The 20,634-nt window shown below is 43.9% G+C and overlaps 1 long non-coding RNA gene and 2 pseudogenes across 2 annotated transcripts in view, besides 4 other annotated features; 2 read left to right on the forward strand and 1 right to left on the reverse strand.

The window, feature by feature from the left end:
- The window catches only part of LOC100287072 (ribosomal protein S6 kinase B1 pseudogene), a 107,286-nt pseudogene that overhangs the window by 13,489 nt on the left and 73,163 nt on the right, over positions 1-20,634 (forward strand). The window lies entirely within an intron of this gene.
- LOC729334 (cytospin B pseudogene) lies at positions 367-9,082 on the forward strand (annotated as a pseudogene).
- LOC105371583 (uncharacterized) lies at positions 2,314-18,582 on the reverse strand. Its single transcript, XR_934317.3, has 3 exons — positions 18,490-18,582; positions 8,816-9,002; positions 2,314-2,569 (listed from the first exon to the last, which is right to left on the reverse strand). It is a non-coding gene; the product is annotated as an uncharacterized LOC105371583 (long non-coding RNA).
- Positions 14,376-15,600: a meiotic recombination region, noted in NCBI's record as "meiotic double-strand break mapped by DNA meiotic recombinase 1 chromatin immunoprecipitation followed by single-stranded DNA enrichment and sequencing in the germ cells of some male individuals with PRDM9 AA, PRDM9 AB, and PRDM9 AC genotypes". NCBI's record gives the evidence for it as "EXISTENCE:chromatin immunoprecipitation-seq evidence [ECO:0000229][PMID:25395542]".
- Positions 14,469-14,994: a non allelic homologous recombination region, noted in NCBI's record as "LCR17pD recombination region, recombines with the LCR17pA recombination region". NCBI's record gives the evidence for it as "EXISTENCE:restriction fragment detection evidence [ECO:0001124][PMID:15148657]".
- Positions 14,814-14,946: a mobile genetic element, noted in NCBI's record as "direction; forward".
- Positions 14,856-14,868: a nucleotide motif, noted in NCBI's record as "nucleotide motif; similarity to the predicted 13-mer PRDM9 A binding motif (LD hotspot motif), CCNCCNTNNCCNC".

Genomic DNA, 20,634 nt, shown 5'->3' on the forward strand with positions numbered 1-20,634 from the left:
CCCAGCTGCAGGAAAGAGAAATATTTAAGTGCGTGCAGATTTCCCTTTCGCTTGTAGGAAGGGGTACAGAATCCAGCCATTTGGAAGCATACATCATGTTTCTCTGACTGTTCGTGGCCTCGGCTGTTTCTGAGGCTAATAATGCAAGAAACAGCACATGCCAAAGGCGTCTTTGCCACTGTGTCCATGAGCCTGCTGCTCACTTGCCAGGGGCTTTTTGTGATGTATTATTTTAGATTGAGGGGGTTCGTGTACAGGTTTGTTACATGGGTGTATTGTGTCGTGATGGGGCTTTGGCTTGTAGTGGACTGATCGCTGTGGGAACTTTGTTGTTAAACCGACCAGGGAACTTTCCTTTTATTTTAAGTGGAAAAAGAATATTCATACCTGAAGGAGATGGATAATCACCAAGCAGAACAGCTAAACAGAACCAGCCTAAAGCTGCAAGAAGCATCATCAGAGAGTGATGCAGAGATCAAAGACATGAAAGAAACCATGTTTGCACTGGAAGATCAGGTGGAACAGCACTGGGTTATCAAGTTACACAGTACTCAACTTATCAGTGAGCTAAAAAATAAGTGGGGTCAAGCCCAGGTGAAATGTGGATTGGAAGTGAGTAGGACACTAAAGAACCCAGCAGCAGTGGGTGACTGTGGGAAGGTTTTTGACTGTGTGTTGGCTGGGGTTTATGAAGAGTCTTTCATTTGAGTGTGCTATAATCTCCTGGGAAGAATGTCACCTAAGAAACAATCATTAATCTCTTAAACTAAGTTGAAAACTGGATAACAGAAGAAAAGAGTAAGCAACATAAGTGACTGTGAAAAATAGCAAATGCTTTGTTGTTTGTTGTTGTTTTAGAGAGAGGGTCTCAGTCTGTTGCCCAGACTGGAGTGCAGTGGTATGACCATACTCACCACAGCCTCAAACTTGTGGGCTCAAGCGATTGTCCCAAATCAGTCTCCCAGAGCACTGGGATTACAGATGTGAATCACTGTACCCAGCCACAAATGTTTCTTGTCTGTGCTAGATGTGCTGTGTGTGAGCCATGCTGCTGCCACTGTCTCTAAGCAGCCTGATGGGCTTGGAGGCCACAAGTTGGGACACTTCAGCTGTGACTGTATGAGAGTTCACAGGGACTTTTCCTAAGGACATTCTGTGGGGTAGGAATGGGTTATTCAGAAGAAATACCTTGCCAAGCATTGACACTGTGTTGTCACCAAGCATTGACACTGTGTTGTCTCTTGGAGCTGATAGAGATGGATGATAGGTGTCAGAGTGGATGAAAAATGTGTGCTCTTGGTCTAAAGAAGAAAACAATTCCTGCATGTGTGCCATTGATGGTAGGATATCAAGTAACTTACAGATGTTGGCCACTTAGTTGCTGAAGAGGCATCATTATGAGGCTTATGAGCTCATTGTTTACTTTGACTTGGGAAAAGAAATTTTTAAAAGGGATTAAACGTTGCCTGCTTTGTCCAAATGACCTTTATCAAATTATCACATCTAATGTGCTTCGCTTTTGTGACAAAAGACAATGGACATGGCCAGGTGTGGTGGCTCACGCCTGTAATCTTAGCACTTTGGGAGGTCGAGGTGGATGGATCACCTGAGGTCAAGAGTTCGAGACCAACTTGGCCAACATGATGAAACCTTGTCTCTATTAAAAATACAAAAATTAGCCAGGTGAGGTGGCGGGTGCCTGTAATCCCAGCTACTTAGGAGGCTGAGGCAGGAGAATCGCATGAACCCAGGAGGTGGAGGTTGCAGTGAGCTGAGATCACACCATTGCCCTCTAGCCTGGGAAACAGAGTGAAACTCTGCCTCAAAAAAAAAAAAAAAGAAAAGGTTTAATGGGCAAAGCATTTAGGTCACACCAGCCATTACTAAGAATAGCCTGGTCAGTTGCCTGAGAAGTTCCCCACACCGTGCAGTTGATCCTCCTTATTCACAGATTCACAGATTGCACATTTGTGAATTCACCTGCTTGCTAAAAATTTTTTTTTTTTTAGTTGGAGTTTTGCTCTTGTTGCCCAGGCTGGAGTGCAATGGTGCAATCTTGGCTCACTGGAGGTTATCCTGCCTCAGCCTCCCGAGTAGCTGGGATTACAGGCATGCGCCACCATGCCCGGCTAATTTTGTATTTTTTTAGTAGAGATGGAGTTTCTCCATGTTGGTCAGGCTGGTCTTGAACTCCCGACCTCAGGTGATCCACCCGCCTTGGCCTCCCAAAGTGCTGAGATTACAGGCATGAGCCACTGCGTCCAGCTGCTCAAATGTATTTTAACCCCCAAATCAACACACAGAGTACTTCCACAGAGTCATTTTTGTCATTTTTGGACATGCACAGAGAAGTGAAAAAGTTGAGTCATCCAGTGCTTATGCTCCCCACTGAGGTCAGACAGACACTTTACCTTCTCATGCTGTACATATATCTTTTCCATGGTCTGTTTAGTACTGTGCTTTTAGCATTCTTTTGCTTGGTTTTGGTGACTTCGCTGTTTAAAATGGCCCCAAGTGCAGTGCTGCAGTGCTGTCCACTGTCCCTAAGCGCAGGGAGGCTGAGAGAGACCTGCAGAGAAGACACGTATGTTAGGGAAGTTTCTTGAAGGCATGAGCTCCTGTGCTGTTAAGCCTGAGTTACTGAATCGACAACACAGTACATCAGAGAAAGGGAGAGGAAGTTCGACAATATGTATGTAAAGCTGCCCTGACATGCTAAAGGGACATCTGTAGAGTGTGATGCAGCTGTGGAAAAGATGGAAAAGCAGCCAAATTTATGGATTCATGAGAAGACAGCCAATTTTAAAAAGCAGTGGGCAACATTATTGTGAGACTGAAAACCAAAGACACGTACGTGCACATCGTCTCAGGTCAGGAAAATATTAAATCCTTCTTGGCTAGTGCTGGTCGGCTCCTAGGTTTCAAAAGGCTGTAAGGTGTGAGAATGGTTAACGTTGCAGGCAGGGCAGGTTGTACAGATCAGGAGACTGAGGAAAAATTTAAAAATACTTGCTCAGTGTTAGGAAGAAGGAAATAGGAAGAATGAGTTTCCACTACTGATGAGACTTGCTTGTTTTATGGAGATATTGCCAGATGCAACTCTGTGCACGAACCTGAGAATTGACTGTGTATTCCAGATATTGATTAGTTGGTTAGAGTGAGAGTTGACAGCACCTGCCTCGTTTCTTCTTGAACATGACACGCAGTAGAACTGTGGAACCTCAGCATTCAGTGTCGGTGCCATCCAGGCTGTTCTCAGGATACAGCTGAAAACCTGGACACCATTATCATCAGTGTATCCTTCCAAACCCAGCACCATGATTGTGAAGAAAAGTCAAAGAAGACAAGTTCTGTTCTGTTTTGTTTTTGTTTTTGTGATATTTTGCTGTTGAGAATGGGGTTGTATTGTCCCTAAATCCTTAAAAGTCAGCACAGACACACCAAGAAAACCAGCGTATAATTAATGTCCACAGCAAAATTTAGGCCCACCGCTGTGGTTATATCATCATATATCCAGGACTGACAATAACCCAAGCCATCTTTTGAAAAGCTGTTAAACTTTTTAAAAGGATTTTGAAGTATTATTCAGATATCTTTTTGCTCAGAGACCCCGAGACACACGGATCCAGCCCTAGACCGATCACTCCTTCCCATGAGATCCTGATGGGAGAGAAATGGACTGAAAAATGAAAGGAAATTAGGGGGTGTTTTCTACTCAGCAGAATAATCCCAGACGCAGACTCCCAGGCCCACTAGAACTAGAACTGCTGGGGTAGGACCTGCCCACAAGCATCTTTTTAGCCTTCTCTGGTGATTCTGATTCACAGCCTTCATAGAAAACTGCTCTAGGTTAGAGCATGACGACCTATTGAGGAATTTCAGCTTGGTGACTGACACCATCAGATTTAAACTCGAATGACTCTGATAGCCGTATGGAGAGAATGGGAGGCAAGGAGAACAAGGGGCTGCAGGTGTCCTTAAGTAGGGAGAGGCAGGCAAGCCACCTGGGAAGATGTCAAACGCACACATCCTCGGGTTCTGTCTGCCCTTGGAGATTCTGCCTCCAGGTGTCTGGAGTGTGGACTAGAACATCGGTGCTTTTGAAAAGTTTCACCAATGATTCAGAGGCTTAACTGCCATTGAGACCCACGACTCTGGAAAGTGCTTTACAAACCACAGGAGGAATAAGCAGTCATGTGCTCTGTTATGTGAAAGCCTCTATCTCACAGCAATAAAGGACACTCAGGATGATTGCGTGTGAGTGCGAGGGAGGCCGGGCTCGGTGTGCAAGTGTGTGTGGCCACGGAGGCCTCTTCCCGTAGTGCTGCTATTTGGTTGTGCATCCTGTCTGCTGAGACTGTAACCTCAATATGCACCATGTATTTTTCAGATCATCATGTTCCCTATTTTGGAGGAACTTGCTGCTTCCAGCCCCTCTTTGCAGGGTAAATTGAAATTGCTAAAAGTTGCATTTAGAGTAGAATGCATTTAGAGTAGATTTGAACACCTGCTGTGGCATGTGGAGCTGCCCCTTTGCTACCTGACTTACCTTCTCTCAAGAGTCTCACAACTCTTCCAAGGCCTGTCTGAATTGTCTATTTCTAGGTAATGTGATCAAGCTGGAGAAACAGAAGTCAGATCTGGGGAGGCAGCTAAAGACTCTGACTGAGCAGATACAGGGGAGATGTGGCAGGAGCCTTCACCACCATCTTCCTATAAATTACCCCTCCAAAGTCGGGATCACTCTCTCTATCCTGCTTTATCTTGGAACATTTTCATGACATGGGCCCTGAAACTGTAAGTTCTTGCCAGCAGGAAGTAAAGTCAAAGCAGTCATTTGTTGTCAGGATGGAGAGCTCTCATAACCTGAAGGTGTAATTTCCACCAGTGCCTTTTCCTAGCAGCAAGACACCGTGAAAGCAGGGCCTCACTAAGCACTGCTGGCTGTTCTTTCTTGGTGACTGATACAGGGGCTCTGGAGTCTCTGCTCAGGCACCAGCCCTGGCAGGCATCTGACACAGGGTTGGGCTCTGGCATTTTCAGAAGGAGACCATGGAATGGAGGTGGTTCCAGCCAGATCTGCAGACTGCGGTGGCAGTGGCCAACAATGTCAAGTGAGAAGCCCAGCAGGAGCTGGGCACTGTGAAGAGGAAACTGCTGAACTGCTGGAGGAGGAGGAGAAGGAGGAGGAGAATGCCTGGCTGCAGAAGGAGCTGGGGGATGTGCAGGGCTGCGGCAGGGTGGTTTCCAGCAGAGCTGCCCCTCCGTGAGTCTAGTGGGCACCCAGGCCATGCTTGCTTTTCACTTAATTACTGTGCGTGGGGCTCCCTGGTGGGGATGAGACGCTTCATGTCTCTCTGTGCAAGGCTCTGCTGTTTCTTTTCTGGGATCAGTCTGCATTACCAGTGCTACCGCATCACTAGGAACATTCCATCCAGTGCCCAGTTTCTGCCATGCTTAGCAGCATAAGGGGCTGCTAAGCTCCTCACTTACATATGAAGGGCGAGTTCTAGCCAAGTATCCTGCTAGGCTTAAAGAATAGAAGTCCTGTCTAGGATGCTCCTTGAATCTTAGTATTTATTAGTGCAGGGAGTGCACACTGATAAATACGAGCCCACCACCTTGCACAGGTCACTCCCATGCAGTGGGAGAAGCTGGAATCACTCCTGAGGGGAGGAGCCACCAAATAAGGACACATTCCTCCCGGCCCAGGGATGTGTCTACTTATTTGACAACACCCATGGGCTACTTCAACAGGCCTTGACATAACTCACTTTATTTTAAAAAGAGTGGAAAACATGCATTTGGCTGATGTATGACATTCCCCTCTGCTCTGGACGGGAAGAAACACACAGCCTATCAGCCCAGAGAGCTCTGCTAATAGTGACATTTAAGAGTATTTGGGACTACAGTTGCACCAGACAAGATCATTACTTTATAGCCGGACCTCTACCCTCTGGCCACCAAAGGATGTGGATTTTAGGAAAACTAGATTTTGCAGTGTTCCCTGTTGAAACAGCAGTGAGGCCATTCAGGGTGGCCTCTGTGTCTGCTGTTGTTTGTTTGCCTCTGTCTTGCTTCCCTATTGTCTGTCATTGGAAGAAGATCCCAGTCAGAACTTGTGTTGCTTCACATGGACGCTATTTTAATGATAAATGGTAAAAGGTAAGTCCTAAGTTTCCATGGTAGCCCTGAATAACCAGGTTCTTGTATGAGCTGCTTCATTTCTTATGTATACTGTGAGACACAGGCCATACCATGCAGTGTGAACCCTGGTATTCTAGGAAATCTCCGCATGCATCCTGGCAGTTTAGGACTCCCTATGCTGCATCCTGCATCTTCAGTCTTAACGTCATTGTTTTTTTAAACACAGAATTTTCTTTTTTGATTTTCCGGTGATTTGCAACATTACTTTCTCAATATAGCAGTTTAATCCCTTACCACAAAACATTTCAAATTTTGGAACTGACACCAATGAGAACGTGTCATGGTACTGAAATCAGGCATCATGATGATTTTGCCTGCCATTGTGTTTGGCAGGAAGTCAGACAAGTGCCAGTGATGGTTTCTTGTCTGATTTTGCACTTCTCTGGCAAGCTGTCACCTCTGAAGAGTTGACTATTGGGTAATTACTCGCTCATGGCTCGGTCACTCCTGGAACCTACCCCATGAGCAAGAACTAGAACCAACTCACACCCTCCAAGCTCCCGAAGCCAGCCAGTGTTTCCGTCTTGGCTGAATGAGTTCTTGATTGAAACTCAATTTGACTTTGGCAGTCATCTAATGAGAACTCAAAAGTCATCCTTGGTTCAGCCACAGCAAAAGAACTTGCAGAACATTCTCTGATGAGATCTTCAAGTACAACTGAGAGAAGGTAAGAACACCCAAAAAGCACCTGGATCCTGACACGGGATTACCTGATTCTTAAACTGTTTGCCCCCGTGGGCACTCACAGGGATGGTTGCAGCCAGGCTGATAGGCATGAGATGAAGCGCCCAGGCAGGAATGCAAATCAGCATTTATTACCGGAACTCAGTGACTACACAGTGGGATATTATCTAACTCATCAATGATCTTCAGCCCTGTTACACTTCAAAAATATTTTTATTTCAGAGTTAGAATAACTGATGTTAAGGTATATGGGGAAGGAAGGTGGTAGCCTCGTCTTTGCAGCCAACCAGCAGTATCTCATTCTCAGCCTCATGTTTGCAGCCAACTAGCAATATCTCGTTCCCAGCCCCGTCTCCTGCCTCTGTTAAAAGAGGTGGGAAAAGTGAGTAGTTTTCAAGGTCCGTTTAAGCTCTGCTATTCTCTGGACTGGTTGGTCAGCTGACCTTTCCCTGGTGGGAGAGTCAGAAATTCCTGTGCCAGCCTTAGCATCTTTCTGATGCAATCCTTTGAACCTCTTTGACACAGTGGTTTCCCCATTGTTGATGAGCAGTGCATGACACAAGGCTTCTCTAACAGCAGCGGGGAAAGACCTCTGCATTTACTGTGTTTGTTTATTTCTCTTGTTCTGAAACAGTAAATGCTGTTATTTCAGGGTGACTTACCTAATTCTTACAGTGTTTATATAACACCAGTAAACATCCATGGAAGGAAAACATCTTTAAAAGAGATCATTAAACACACTTAACATCTGTGCCTAATTAATGCTATTGGTATCTAAATAGAATGTCTGTGATTCGAATGTGTTTTGCCTGCACCACCAGTTCTTGGGTTGTCCCCTCTCGGAGGTGAGCACTGTGGCAGCACAGCATGTGCAGACTCCGCTGGAATTGGCTTAACTCCGTGTGTGCACATCAGTGTCAGCCCGAGCGTCGCTGCATGTGCCCGCACTGCCCTCTGTGTTGCTCTGATGGCTCTAATGGGTCACAGCCGCTTAGCACATGTTCTCCAGCTGCTGCGGAGAGGGGAAGGGCAGAAGTTGGAGGTATAGATTCTTGGGTCCCTAAGGTCCCTTTTCAAGCTCTCTTGCTGCAGATGCTCTGGTACCGAGCCCCTGTCCCAGGTGGAGGGGGCCCATTCCGCTAAGGATTCCTAAACAGTTTCTGAACAGACTTCACCTTAGCACCCATGACGAACAGGGGCTTCTGGCATTTAATTTGGCCCTTAATGTAGAACCTGGTCCTCTCATATCCTCTTACTCTAGCCAGCCTTATCTGTTGACTCACATAGTACTTTTTTTTTATAGTTTAGATTTATGACATACACAGTCTATAATTCTAAATAGCTGTGTCTGCCTCCCTATTCCCTAATCCGCATCTTTACAGATTTGAACGGTGTGGACATAAGCTTCTCTTAGGCCTTTAGGATTTTTAGGTTGAAATTATGAAAGAAAAAAAGTTTTTTGGCCTTGACAGTAGAGGGGAAGCACAAGCCTCTCTGTAAATTCTGGAGGGGCCTGTGGTGTTCATCATGGGCATCTCTGCTTCACCACACAGTTCTTTGTTGGAGAAGTTCTGGTGGAGGAGCCTAGTACAGGCATTTGTAGTCTGACATTTTTTTATGTCCGAAAACCTTTGGCTTCCAAAAAATTGGAACAGTAGGAATTAAAACCCATTGGCCTGTCCTGGACATTAGCTTGTCCCCGTAGGGCAGTGTAAGCTGGAAATTCTTGCGTTTGTGAACTAAGACCGTGTTGCCTTAGGGTAACTCCTTTACAGCCTCTCCCTCCCCATTTCTATTTTCACCTCTCAGTGGGCTCTGTCAGCTAGCAGAGCATTTGGTGGAAGAAAGACAGCCCAGCTCTTCCCATGATTGGGATCCACAGCCATCTCTGTATGAAAGGGGGAATGTGTAGAAGAGAAATTACCTCTTTATAAAGAGCCCAGGTGTCTCCTTGTGACATTCACTGTTTCTCGGAACCATTGCCTTTGAGTCTGCTTTTTGTCCACATTTTGGAATCAGCTCACTGCATGATCAAAGATGATCCTTCACTCTTTTTTCTTTTTCTCAGAAGCTTCAGCAGTCTTTTATTTGGAGAATAAAATGAAGTTGTACTGAAAAAAGAAAGTACAGGTCTCATGAAGAAGAGTTATTTGCAGCTGGAATGTTGAGAAGGCACAGTGGCAGAGCAGATCTGAGTAATGCTTATTCCGAAGAAGTCAAAAAGTTTGGCTTCCTTCTGTGGGGTCTTGATTGTGCCTCTTCACACAGGGTCTGACTTCATTACCTCATCTGAAACTAAGTACCACTAAGCTTTGGTTTGATTTCCAGAATCTTGCTGGGCTAAACGCAAGTAGATGTTTCGTTCATTGTTGGGAATAGGCCCCCAAAATCTGGCCATAAACTGGCCCCCAAACTGGCCATAAACAAAATCTCTGCAGCACTGTGACATGTTTGTGATGGCCATGACGCCCACGCTGAAGGTTGTGGGTTTACCGGAATGAGGACAAGGAACACCTGGCCCACCCAGGGCAGAAAACCGCTTAAAGGCGTTCTTAAACCACAAACAATAGCATGATCGATCTGTTTAAGGAGAGCATGCTCCTGCTGCTGATAACTAGCCAGAGCCCATCCCTTTATTTCGGCACATCCCTTTGTTTCCCGTAAGGAATAGTCTTAGTTAATCTATATAGAAACAATGCTTATCACTGGCTTGCTGTCAGTAAATATGTGGGTAAATCTCTGTTTGAGGCTCTCAGCTCTGAAGGCTTGAGACCCCTGATTTCCCACTCCACACCTCTATGTTGCTGTGTGTGTGTCTTTAATTCCTCTAGTGCCACTGGGTTAGGGTCTCCCAACCAAGCTGGTCTCAGCAGTTGATCATAAAGGATGCTGTTAAGCCAGATAGGTAAGCATGGTGACAGTGGCAATAGAAATCTAATGGAAAACGGTTGAATGACAACTACACCAAAAGCCTCATGGATGAAACTCAGCCTGGAAACTTAGTGTTCAACTCAGAGCGATCCACAATTTTATGTGGATTTTAAACTTCCAGAAATGTGATTTTAAACTTCCGGGAATACCTGTGTTTGTGAAGATCCAAATCCATTTCAGCAACCTCCATCAGGCAGAAACCTCCTGCAGTTCTCAGCATGGAGCTATTAGCTATCCAAAGGAAAGCTAGTATCTATTTTATCCAAAGGATGAGACAAGGCAAGAGTTACTGTCTAATAAAAGGAAAATTAGGAACAGGAGTGCTCTTTAAACTCAGGAAGATGTTTTGGGGTGTCAAACCAGACAGCACAGAATCACTAGAAACATTAGCTTGGTGTGAGAAAGAAGAGACATTGATATCTTCTGTGTAAAAATAAATACTTGCGAGTAGGACTGTAGATTCTGGGAGCTCTTTATCTCGTATTCAGAGTTGTTGGGATGATTTAAAACTCATTTGCTGGATGTTTTTAAATATAAACAGTAAGAAAACTGCAACCTCAACTTAAAAGGCACCACTGTATTTGCAGCCCACATTTTGTCCTATCTTTACTCCAGGTACTGCTGAGTATTTTTATCTGTAAGCATTTGTAAAATGCTAAATAATGTTGTTATACAGAAGCTCGTCTGCTGCTTAAGGTTTTTTTTTTTTTTTTGAGACGGAGTCTCGCTCTATCGCCCAGGCTGGAGTGCAGTGGCGCAGTCTCAGCTCACTAACCTCCATCTCCCGGGTTCACGCCATTCTCTTGCCTCAGCCTCCTGAGTAGCTGGGACTACAGGTGCTGGCCACCACACCCAGCTAATTTTTTATATTTTTAGTAGAGACGGAGTTTCACCGTGTTGGTCAGGATGGTCTGGATCTCCTGACCTTGTGATCTGTCCACCTCGGCCTCCCAGAGTGCTGGGATTACAGGCGTGAGCCACCGCGCCCGGCCTGCTGCTTGAGTTTTAATCACCAGCTATGTTTCTGCAGGGCCTTTATGTCATTTTGTTCTACATTTTTTCATGAATATAGTTTCAGAACTTCAAAGCCTCCTCAAATAATAGAATTTGAAGGAGAAACAAGCTGGACTTTAAATATAAGTTGTAGATAGAAGGTTGAGCTGGGATATGAATGATTTTATTATTAGAACAAGAGGACGTGGAGCAAAAACACTAGTTTTGCATAAATTAATTTTTAAGCAAAACTGTAGAATCTCAGAAAATATAGTATGGACTTTTTAGTCTAGATGTTTCTTGTTGAAATTTAAAAATGAATAGATTGGTGAATTAATGTATTGGATTTTCTCCTAATTATGAAGTAATATTTAGGTATACTGGTAGCAAAATGGAGATGTGTCAAGAAAAATACTAATCTTTCTCCTCCTTCAGTACTCACCCTGCAAGGAAATCACTGGTAACAGTGTGTATATTTTTTGTTAATCATAAAATGTATAGGCTTCATTTATATATGTTTAAATATAAACAGGACTATGTTCTACACAGTATGCTGCACCTTCACTTTTTATTTCATGTAACATGGGCATCCTTCCAGGTCAATACATACAAAGAGAACTCATTTTAAGAGCTGCATGGCCTTCCACAGGAGGGATGTGCCCTGGAATATTCAAATATTGTCTTACTAATGCCAGCAAGGTTATAGTTTTCTTTGTTACGAATAATGCTATAATACGAGTCCTTATTCATATAGTCCTATATAGTTGTGATTTTATTTTTATAGCATGAATTTCTAAAACTATGACTGCTGCTCTAGAGAATATACACATTTTTATCTTAATAGATGTCTCCAGGTTACTCACCTGACTGCTGTGACATTTCACTTTCTTTTTTTTGTTTGTTTTTTTGAGATGGAGTCTCGCTCTGTCGCCCAGGCTGGAGTGCAGTGGCACGATCTTGGCTTACTGCAAGCTCCGCCTCCCGGGTCCACACCATTCTCCTGCCTCAGCCTCCGGAGTAGCTGGAACTACAGGCGCCCGCCACCACGCCCGGCTAATTTTTTGTATTTTTTAGTAGAGACGGGGTTTCACCGTGTTAGCCAGGATGGTCTCGATCTCCTGACCTCGTGATCGGCCTGCCTTGGCCTCCCAAAGTGCTGGGATTACAGGCGTGAGCCACCGCACCTGGCCGACATTTCACTCTTGATGAACGTGCCCATCTCTGCATAGTCTGAGCAGCCACAGAAAGTGTTGATCTTATTTTTGCCAATAGGATAAGTGAAAAATACTATCTTATTAGATTTTAATTTGTATATCTCTGAGCATATTTTTATGTGTACTAACCAATTGCACTTTCTCTTCTAGAGTTGCTAGTTTAGCACTTTTGCCTATTATTTCACTGAGCTGATTGTTTCTTTCTCATCAGTTTATAAGTCAGTATTTTATTAGGGATGTCGGGGTTTTTTTGTTTCGTTTTGTTTTGGGGGGGTTGTTTTTTGTTGTTGTTGTTTTGAGACAGGGTCTTGCTTTGTCACCCAGGCTGGAGTGCAGTGGCACGATCACAGCTCACTGAAGCCTTGACCTCCCAGGCGCAAATGATCCTCCTACTCAGCCTCCCAAATAGCGGGGACGACAGGCGAACACCACCATGCCTTCCTAATTCGAATTTTTGTCCAGCTGGGATGTCACTTTATTGCCGAGGCTGGTCTTCAACTCCTGGGCTTGAGTGATCCTCCCACCTTAGTCTCCCAAATCACTGGAATTATAATTGTGAATCACTGTGCTTGCCCAAAGATGTGTTTTTATCCCCAGTGCACTACAGGCCTTTGGCTTTAACATCCGTATCATAGAAAAGTTTATATTTTTATATAATGTTAACTTAGTGTTTTCTTTTGTTATTTCTTTTTGTTTGTTTGAAGGTTTTCCCTCTCCAATCTTATTTGTTACAAATAAACTATTAAGTTTCATTCTCTGTTTTATGCACGTGCACACACAGACACACACACAGATACACACACACACACACACACGCAGGCGTTTGATCCACCTTTCTTTATTTAATCTGATGTGAGCTGTGCGTCTTTCTCTCCCAGTTAGATAGCTGGTCATGCCAGCACTATTACCAGAACCATCCTTTGTCCACTGAATTGAAATCCCACCTTTACATGATTCATTTCATCTGCATTCGGAGAGAACTGCCCTAAGTATGCCCCCATTTCTTTTTCTTTTGAGTTAGTTCTGCTTTAAAATATTAATGAGTTATTAGATTGCTTATATTATTTTTAACTCACCTTTCATTTTAAATTGTCATCTTTAATTTATGTCTTCTTATTTTATTGAATTTTAAGGTAGATACTATCAGTGTCAAATTGTTTCTGGTCATGAATTTACAAATGTTGGTCCTCTCTTGAGTGCAGTTTCCCCTTCACTTTGTATTATGAAATATTTGCATCGGCTGGGCGTCGTGGCTTATGCCTGTAATCCCAGCACTCTGGGAGGCCTAGGTGGGTGAATCACCTGAGGTCAGGAGTTCGAGACCAGCCTGGCCAAAATGGCGAAACCCCGTCTCTACTTAAAAAAATACAAAAATTACCTGGGCGTAGTGGCACGTGCCTGTAATCCCAGCTACTTGGGAGGCTGAGGCTGGAGAATCTCTTGAACCCAGGTGGAGGTTGCAGTGAGCTGAGATTGTGCCACTGCACTCCAGCCTGGGCTACAGAGTTAGACTGTATCACAAAAAATAATAATAATAATAATTTAAAAAAGAAATATTTGCATCAAGCAGGGCATTATTTTGTTCATCACCTTCTCTTGCTGAAGCAGATCCAGGTGTGGCAGGGCCTGACGTTTGGCCCAGGTCAGTGTCTGGATCCTGCTCAGTTCCACTGCCTTTACCTGACAGTGCTTAGGATCTTATGACTGAAATGCGTTGGAAGGCTCTTGAAGGTGCATATATATTACATATTGAAAGGTACAGAAGCTCAGGTAGAGTAGAAAAGGGTGAGTGCCTAACGGGGAAATTCACCTGTGCCCAGTTTGTTCTCTGCTTGGTGAGCCTGGAATACAGAGCCAACTCTCTGGGTCTACATTTGCATGCCCCTCGTCCATTTTAGATGCACGCCATGGCTTTTCCTGCCCTGTCCCTTGTCACTACTGTCCTTTGTGTCTGGGGTAAACCAACCTTGGCCTCCTCAGATGTAAATTCCTCTTGTTCCTGATCCTTTGCCAGAATGCCCTGCATCTCTCTGGGCTTCTCGTGCTCCTCACCAGCCCTGGCCTTCTAGGGTGGGGGACATTAGTGGAGGGTTTCCCTTATCTCCATTTTCTTTGGAAGGGATTTGGAGGAAAGCTCTTGGTATTTTATTTTAATTTCCCCCCCACCACATACTCTCTATTAGCAGAAATTCTTCAAAGTGTAGGCTTGTAGATGATACCTGACTACAAGATTTTTACTGTTTCTTTGATTCTTTTTGTTCAGATTTGTAGATGAAGATGCTTATGTTCAAATTGCCATCTTATCCTGTTTGATTTTATTGTTGAATATGCTTATATTGAAATTTGAAAGTGAAATTCAGAAGATACTGTTTTGACATCTGGAGAGAGAGTACTTCATAATTTCTGTCTCACAATAGAGGGACAAACTTCTCTTAGATTTGTTTTGTGTAAAACAATAAGAAGTATTTAGAGAAAATTACGCTCCAGGCAAGGGCATAGAATGAGCAAAGGCACAGAGGCAGGACATAAAAGAAAAAAAACTTCAGGTGGCTGGGTGTATAGTCCAAAAACTAGACGGGTAGAGGGGACTCATGGGAGATCAATCGAAAGGCCTGGGGCTGGGCTTCATCCAGGTGTTCAGGAAAGATCCCAGCAGGCATGAGCATGTGGTTGGCACAACCTGCCCTCTTCACAAATATTAATCTGCCAGTTGTGAAGGTAGCAGTGGTGCCATGCAACGCTTCCCAAATGGAGTTACCCTTGAATACTTAAAAAATCATCATGGGCTGGGCATGGTGGCTCACGCCTGTAATCCCAGCATTTTGGGAGGCCAAGGTGGATGAATCACTTAATGTGATGAGTTCAAGACCAGCCTGGCCAACATGGCAAAACCCTGTTTCTACTAAACATTAAAAAAAAAATCTTGTATAGGAGCTCACCTGTGCCTGGATCAGAATAAACAACATAAAGTGGTGTCTTGAGGAAGTAAAAGCTATAGACAATCACTGGCAGTTGAAGACTCTGTTCCCTAATATAACAAAGAAAGCAACAAATTTAGAGAGGTTAAATAAAAGTTTCAAAGGGAAATAATTACAGACATATATGTATGTGGTCTTAAATGACAAGGTAAGACGTAGAAGGCAGACCAACGTTCAGTGAGGAGGGCCGTGCATCTTGTTGTGCTCTGTGGAGACGCTGCCTGCTTATAGGGTGCGTGCGTGTCACCTGCTGTGTGTGACACACCATCAGAAAGTCTGGCCTCCAAATGTTATTCACAGGTATGGGTTGCCACCTTGTAAGAACAGATTATTGTACAAAAATAGGAATGTTGAAAGAAATATTGGGAATGTTTTTTCTTAAATATTATTATATTTTAAGAAGAAATACCATCAGCATTATTTTTGGAACCTTGTATACCTCTCATAGAACACTTGTGCACAACAGAAAATTTGAGAAAGGCCTGGCCAGAGCTGGATTTGCATCCCAGATTTACCATTCATGAACCATGTGACCATCATCAAATTTTCCTCTAAAATAAGAGATAATGTGTGGAGGTTTTGTGGAAAATTAAATTAGATAACATTTTTAAGACACATGGTACTGTGCCTGTCATATACAGTGGAGTTATACTGTATTAGTTTGTTCTCACTTTGCTATAAAGAACTACTTTGAGGCTGGGCACAGTGGCTCATGCCTGTAATTCCAGCACTTTGGGAGGCCAAGGCAGGAGAGTCACTTGATGTCAGGAATTCAAGACCAGCCTGGCAAACATGACAAAACCCCATCTCTACTAAACATACAAAAATTAGCCAGGCATGATGGCATGCACCTGTAATCCCAGCTACTTGGGAGGCTGAGGCAGGAGAATCGCTGGAATCTGGGAGGCAGAGGTTGCAGTGAGCTGAGATTGCCTCACTGTATTCCAGCCTGGGAGACAGAGCAAGACTTAGTCTCAAAAAAAAAAAAAAAAAATTGAATTACCTGAGACTGGGTATTTTATAAAGAAAAAAGGTTTAATTGCCAGGCACAGTGACTCACACTTGTAATTCCAGCACTTTGGGAGGCTGAGGCAGGCAGATCACAAGGTCAGGAGATCGAGATCATCGTGGCTAACACGGTGAAACTCCGTCTCTGCTAAAAATACAAAAATATTAGCCGGGCATGGTGGCGGGTGCCTGTAGTCCCAGCTACTCAGGAGGCTGAGGCAGGAGAATGGCATGAACCCAGGAGGCAGAGCTTGCAGTGAGCCGAGATCACTCCATTGCACCCCAGCCTGGGCAACAGAGCCAAGACTCCATCTCAAAAAAAAAAAAAAAAAAAGGTTTAATTGACTCACAGTTCTACAGGTCACACAGGAAGCATGGCTGGGGAGGCATCAGGAAACTTACAATCATGGTGGAAGGTGAAGGGGATGCAGGTACATATTCACATGGCTGGCAGGAGAGAGAGTGAATGAAACAGGAGGTGCTACATACTTTCAAACAACCAGATCCCTTGAGAACTCTTACCGCAAGACAACACTAGGAGGACGGTGCTAAACCGTTAGAAACTGCCCCCATGAGCCAATCACCTCTCACTGGGCCCCACCTCCAACAATGGGAATTACAATTCAACATGAGATTTGGGTGGGGACACAGAACCAAACCATATTATGTATGTATATTTGTTTCAGTGAAATTTTCTGTTATTAACATAGTTTTATATGCTGGGGACAAGCAGAACACATGCTTCATTTTGTTGTGTTAAATGTAGCCCCTAAACACAAAGCAACTATTTCATCAGTGATGTAACTACAGAAAGAGCCAAACTCAGTGGCTCATGCATGTAATCCCAGCACTTTGGGAAGCTGAGGCAGATGTATCGCTTGAGTCCAGGAGTTCAAGAACATCCTGGACAATGTGGCGAAAACTCATCTCTTATAAAAAAAAAAAAAGAAAATTAGCCAAGTGTGGTGGTGCACATCTCTAGTCCCAGCTACTCTGGAGGCTGAAGTGGGAGAATCACTTGAGCCTGGGAGATTGAGGCTGCAGTGAGCCAAGGTGTTGCCACTACACTCCAGCCTGAGTGATCCACCTCGGCCTCCCAAAGTGCTGGGATTACAGGTGTGAGCCACCAGGCCTGGACACTAATAGTATTCTTTTTTTATTTTTATTTTTATTTTTTATTTTGAGACAGTCTCGCTCAGTCACCCAGGCTGGAGTGGGAGTAATCTCCACTCACTGCAACCTCTGCCTTCCGGGTTCACGTGATTCTCCTGCTTCAGCTTTCCAGGTAGCTGGGATTACAGATGTGTGCCACCACTCACACCGGGCTAATTTTTGTATTTTTAGTAGAGACGGGGTTTTATTCTGTTGGTCAGGCTGGTCTCGAATTCCTGACCTCAAGTGATCCACCCGCCTCGGCCTCCCAAAGTGCTGGGATTACAGACATGAGCCACCATGCCCAGCCACCAATAGCATTCTTAATAACAATTTTCTTTGGTTATTCAGTTCAGGCTTTGTTTTGTGAATGCCTCCTACACACATACACCTACACATACACATACACACACACACACACACACACACACACACACACACACACACACACACAATTGCTATTATATAACATGGTGAGTATTTAGTGAGTATTTCTCTAATCTGCTTAAATGATGCAGGGCTTTCTCATACTGACTCGTATTGTTCTAGCCAAGCAGACTGAGCATTAGAAATAACATTTTAGGATGCCCAAAGACAGGGGTACTGGAAATTAATTTTTGTGGCCTTGCTTTTTTCTTATACACTCTGAATGAGTCTATATATCATTCAATATTTTGAATTGCAGAGAAACTTAGATAACTGAAAGGAATACCTCAGCAGAATGTAGGCTTCTCTATTTTGTTCTTATTAAATTATCAAAGAAGAAAATGAACATGAGTTATTTAAAATGATTGTCCTTGGAGGCCTTTGGGACCAAGTCATTTAAATGGACTGATAAGAAGGTGGCCCATTTTGTGTCTTGATGACCTTCCTGAGAATGGCTGGCACAGACAGAGATTTTTTTCTCCTCAGACCTAACCTGATTTCATTCTGTTTCTGCATATTTGTCAACCTGATTTTATTCTGTGTAACATAAAGGGGAAAATGTGAAAACCAGTTCCTGTCAGTAAACCTTTAAAAATTATTTAAAAGCCCAACCCCTTACAATTTGTTAAGTTCCTAATGGTTTCTTCCAATGAAGTTTTCAGTTCACTGATTTTTTTTTCCACTCAGAAGCAGGGGCTGTGAAGTCAAGAGTGTAAGACAGTGTGGGTTAACTGTTTTAAGTTCTGTTTCTGTGAAATGTATTCTATTCATGTTTACAGAGCAACAGAGGAAAGCTTAGAGAATTAAGTACACCGTAAATTTAACCACAGAAGCTTATGAGTAGCTAGATTAACTTCAAAACAATCAGTAAATAAATATTTTAAACTTCCACTGACCTTTTTAAAAATCTACTTCCAGATACGTTGTTTGAACTATTCTCATAAATTAGTCATCTTGCAAAACAGCTGTGACAATATGATGTAATGAAGAGAGCAATGATTTAGCAGTCAGAAGGCTGGGAGTCCTTGTCTTGGCTCATTCACAGGGAGATCACATGACATGCCAAAGTCCCCTAGATAAGGGAGCCATACATGAGAGGATTGAGGATTGGGTCAATGATCTATCATAAAAGACTTTCTATGAGTCTGTGCTTACACTTAGAAACCTCACAAAGAACACACCAGGGAATTTGGGTGAGAGCAGGAGCTTCAGCTCATGCAGAATTGCAGTGTTATTTTAGAGTTGTGTTACGACTCTTAGGCTTAGAAGACAGAATGTCTGAGTCAGGATTCTGTTGTGTATAATGGATTGCACTCTCGTTGGCTTAGACGGAAAAGCGTTAAATGGCTTGCAGAATTGTTGGGAGGGCTGAGCTTCCAGGAGCAGCTCCCAAAGTCTCCACACAGAATTGGACCACCAGGGAACCTGCTCCCTCCACCAGGACAGGAGCCTTAACTTCAGAAAGCTGCCCACCCAGTTGGAAAGCTGCCACCACAGTTACCAGCACCAGAAGCATCTTGTCTCTGCTACAGTCTCTGTGCACATAGTGAATGCCCTGTGCCCTGCCTCTCTCCCCCTGACTCAGGTGCCACTCCGGGTCTCGCTCAAGTCTTTCTGATGATGGAACTTAAATCACGCCCAAAATCCCAGCTGCAGGAGAGCTCTGAGATTTCATCTTTCCAGCCTCTGTGTGCCACCTGGGGTTTGGAGCATTTGCCAACAAGCCAATCCACTGCATTCACCATTGACAATAAGCAAAATGTTTATGATCAGTAACATTTGCATTTTTTCACAATTTGCAGCATACAGGCTTCTTAATTAGAGCTAATGTCAAGTCATTCTACATATAAAAATATCATTTTTGACCGTTTCTCAAGAAACAGCTTTTTAAAAAATCAAGAGCAATGCCTACATTATTTCCTGATGCAAAGCTGGTAGAGAAGATAGGATGTTAAATTTAGAATTTCCCTTCCAGCTTTGTTTATTTTCTCCACATCAGCTCTGTTTTCCTCTGTGTCTTTTTCTCCCATGGGGACGTCCTCCACCTTTTCAGTTTGATTTGACCTTTGCTGTGCAGACCTGTGGATGAAGAGCCAGAGTCCCCCAAGGTCGATGCTGCTGGCCAGTGGCCTGGTGTGTGTGTTAACAGAACATCTCCAACGCCCTCAGAGCCCATGACCACCATAAGTCACTCATCAAGTCATTTGACTTGGGATGCCCTGGTATTTAATCATTTTTTTCTATAAGCAAAGTTCCAAATTCAAACTTTGGCCCGACATATCAAACGTTTCTTGACTGTACCCTGGCCCCACGTTGTTACAACCACAAGGGCACTTTCCAGGTACTACCACATGGAGCGGCTGCAGGCAGGAGCCTGGCCCAGGCTCCGGGGAGGCACTCATGGAGAGCCTGACTCATGAGTAACACAAAAGCAGCCTCTTCCTCTCTACCTCTTCCTCCTCTCCAGTTCCTGCCTTGCCTCATTTCTTTTCTGCCTCTCATAGCCATTAAATTCAGGTCACTACTATTTGCCATTTTCTTATTTCATGAGAAATAGCACGGTCAGCCAGAGGCTTCATCTCCAAGGAAACCAGGCGTCACAACTGTGCACCTGACCCTTTTGTAGGCACCCTTGGCCATCCCCATCTTGCAGCCTGCTAGACATTTTTCTACCTGGTCTTGTATGTGAGCACCTGTGTTGATCTGTCACTTCTGATCTTGGTGTGCTCCCAGGTTTCCTGGAATTTTCTGATAGACTCACAATACCCCTTTAGTCATGTTTATCTTCATGTATGAGAAAGATGCATAGCTATACTTCATACATATACTGTACACATAAAGATAGCAAATAGAAGAAACAATATGCATCTGTCCACTGTAACAGTATCTTTCTTCCTGGACTGCAATGAACATGCCATTGTATTGAAAGACTCTAGTAGGCTGGGCACGGTGGCTCACGCCTGTAATCCCAGCACTTTGGGAGGCCGAGGCGGGCGGATCACGAGGTCAGGAGATTGAGACCATCCTGGCTAACATGGTGA

The sequence above is a fragment of the Homo sapiens genome, chromosome 17 (assembly GCF_000001405.40).
Source record: "Homo sapiens chromosome 17, GRCh38.p14 Primary Assembly".
In the NCBI taxonomy this organism is placed as follows: Eukaryota; Metazoa; Chordata; class Mammalia; order Primates; family Hominidae; genus Homo; species Homo sapiens.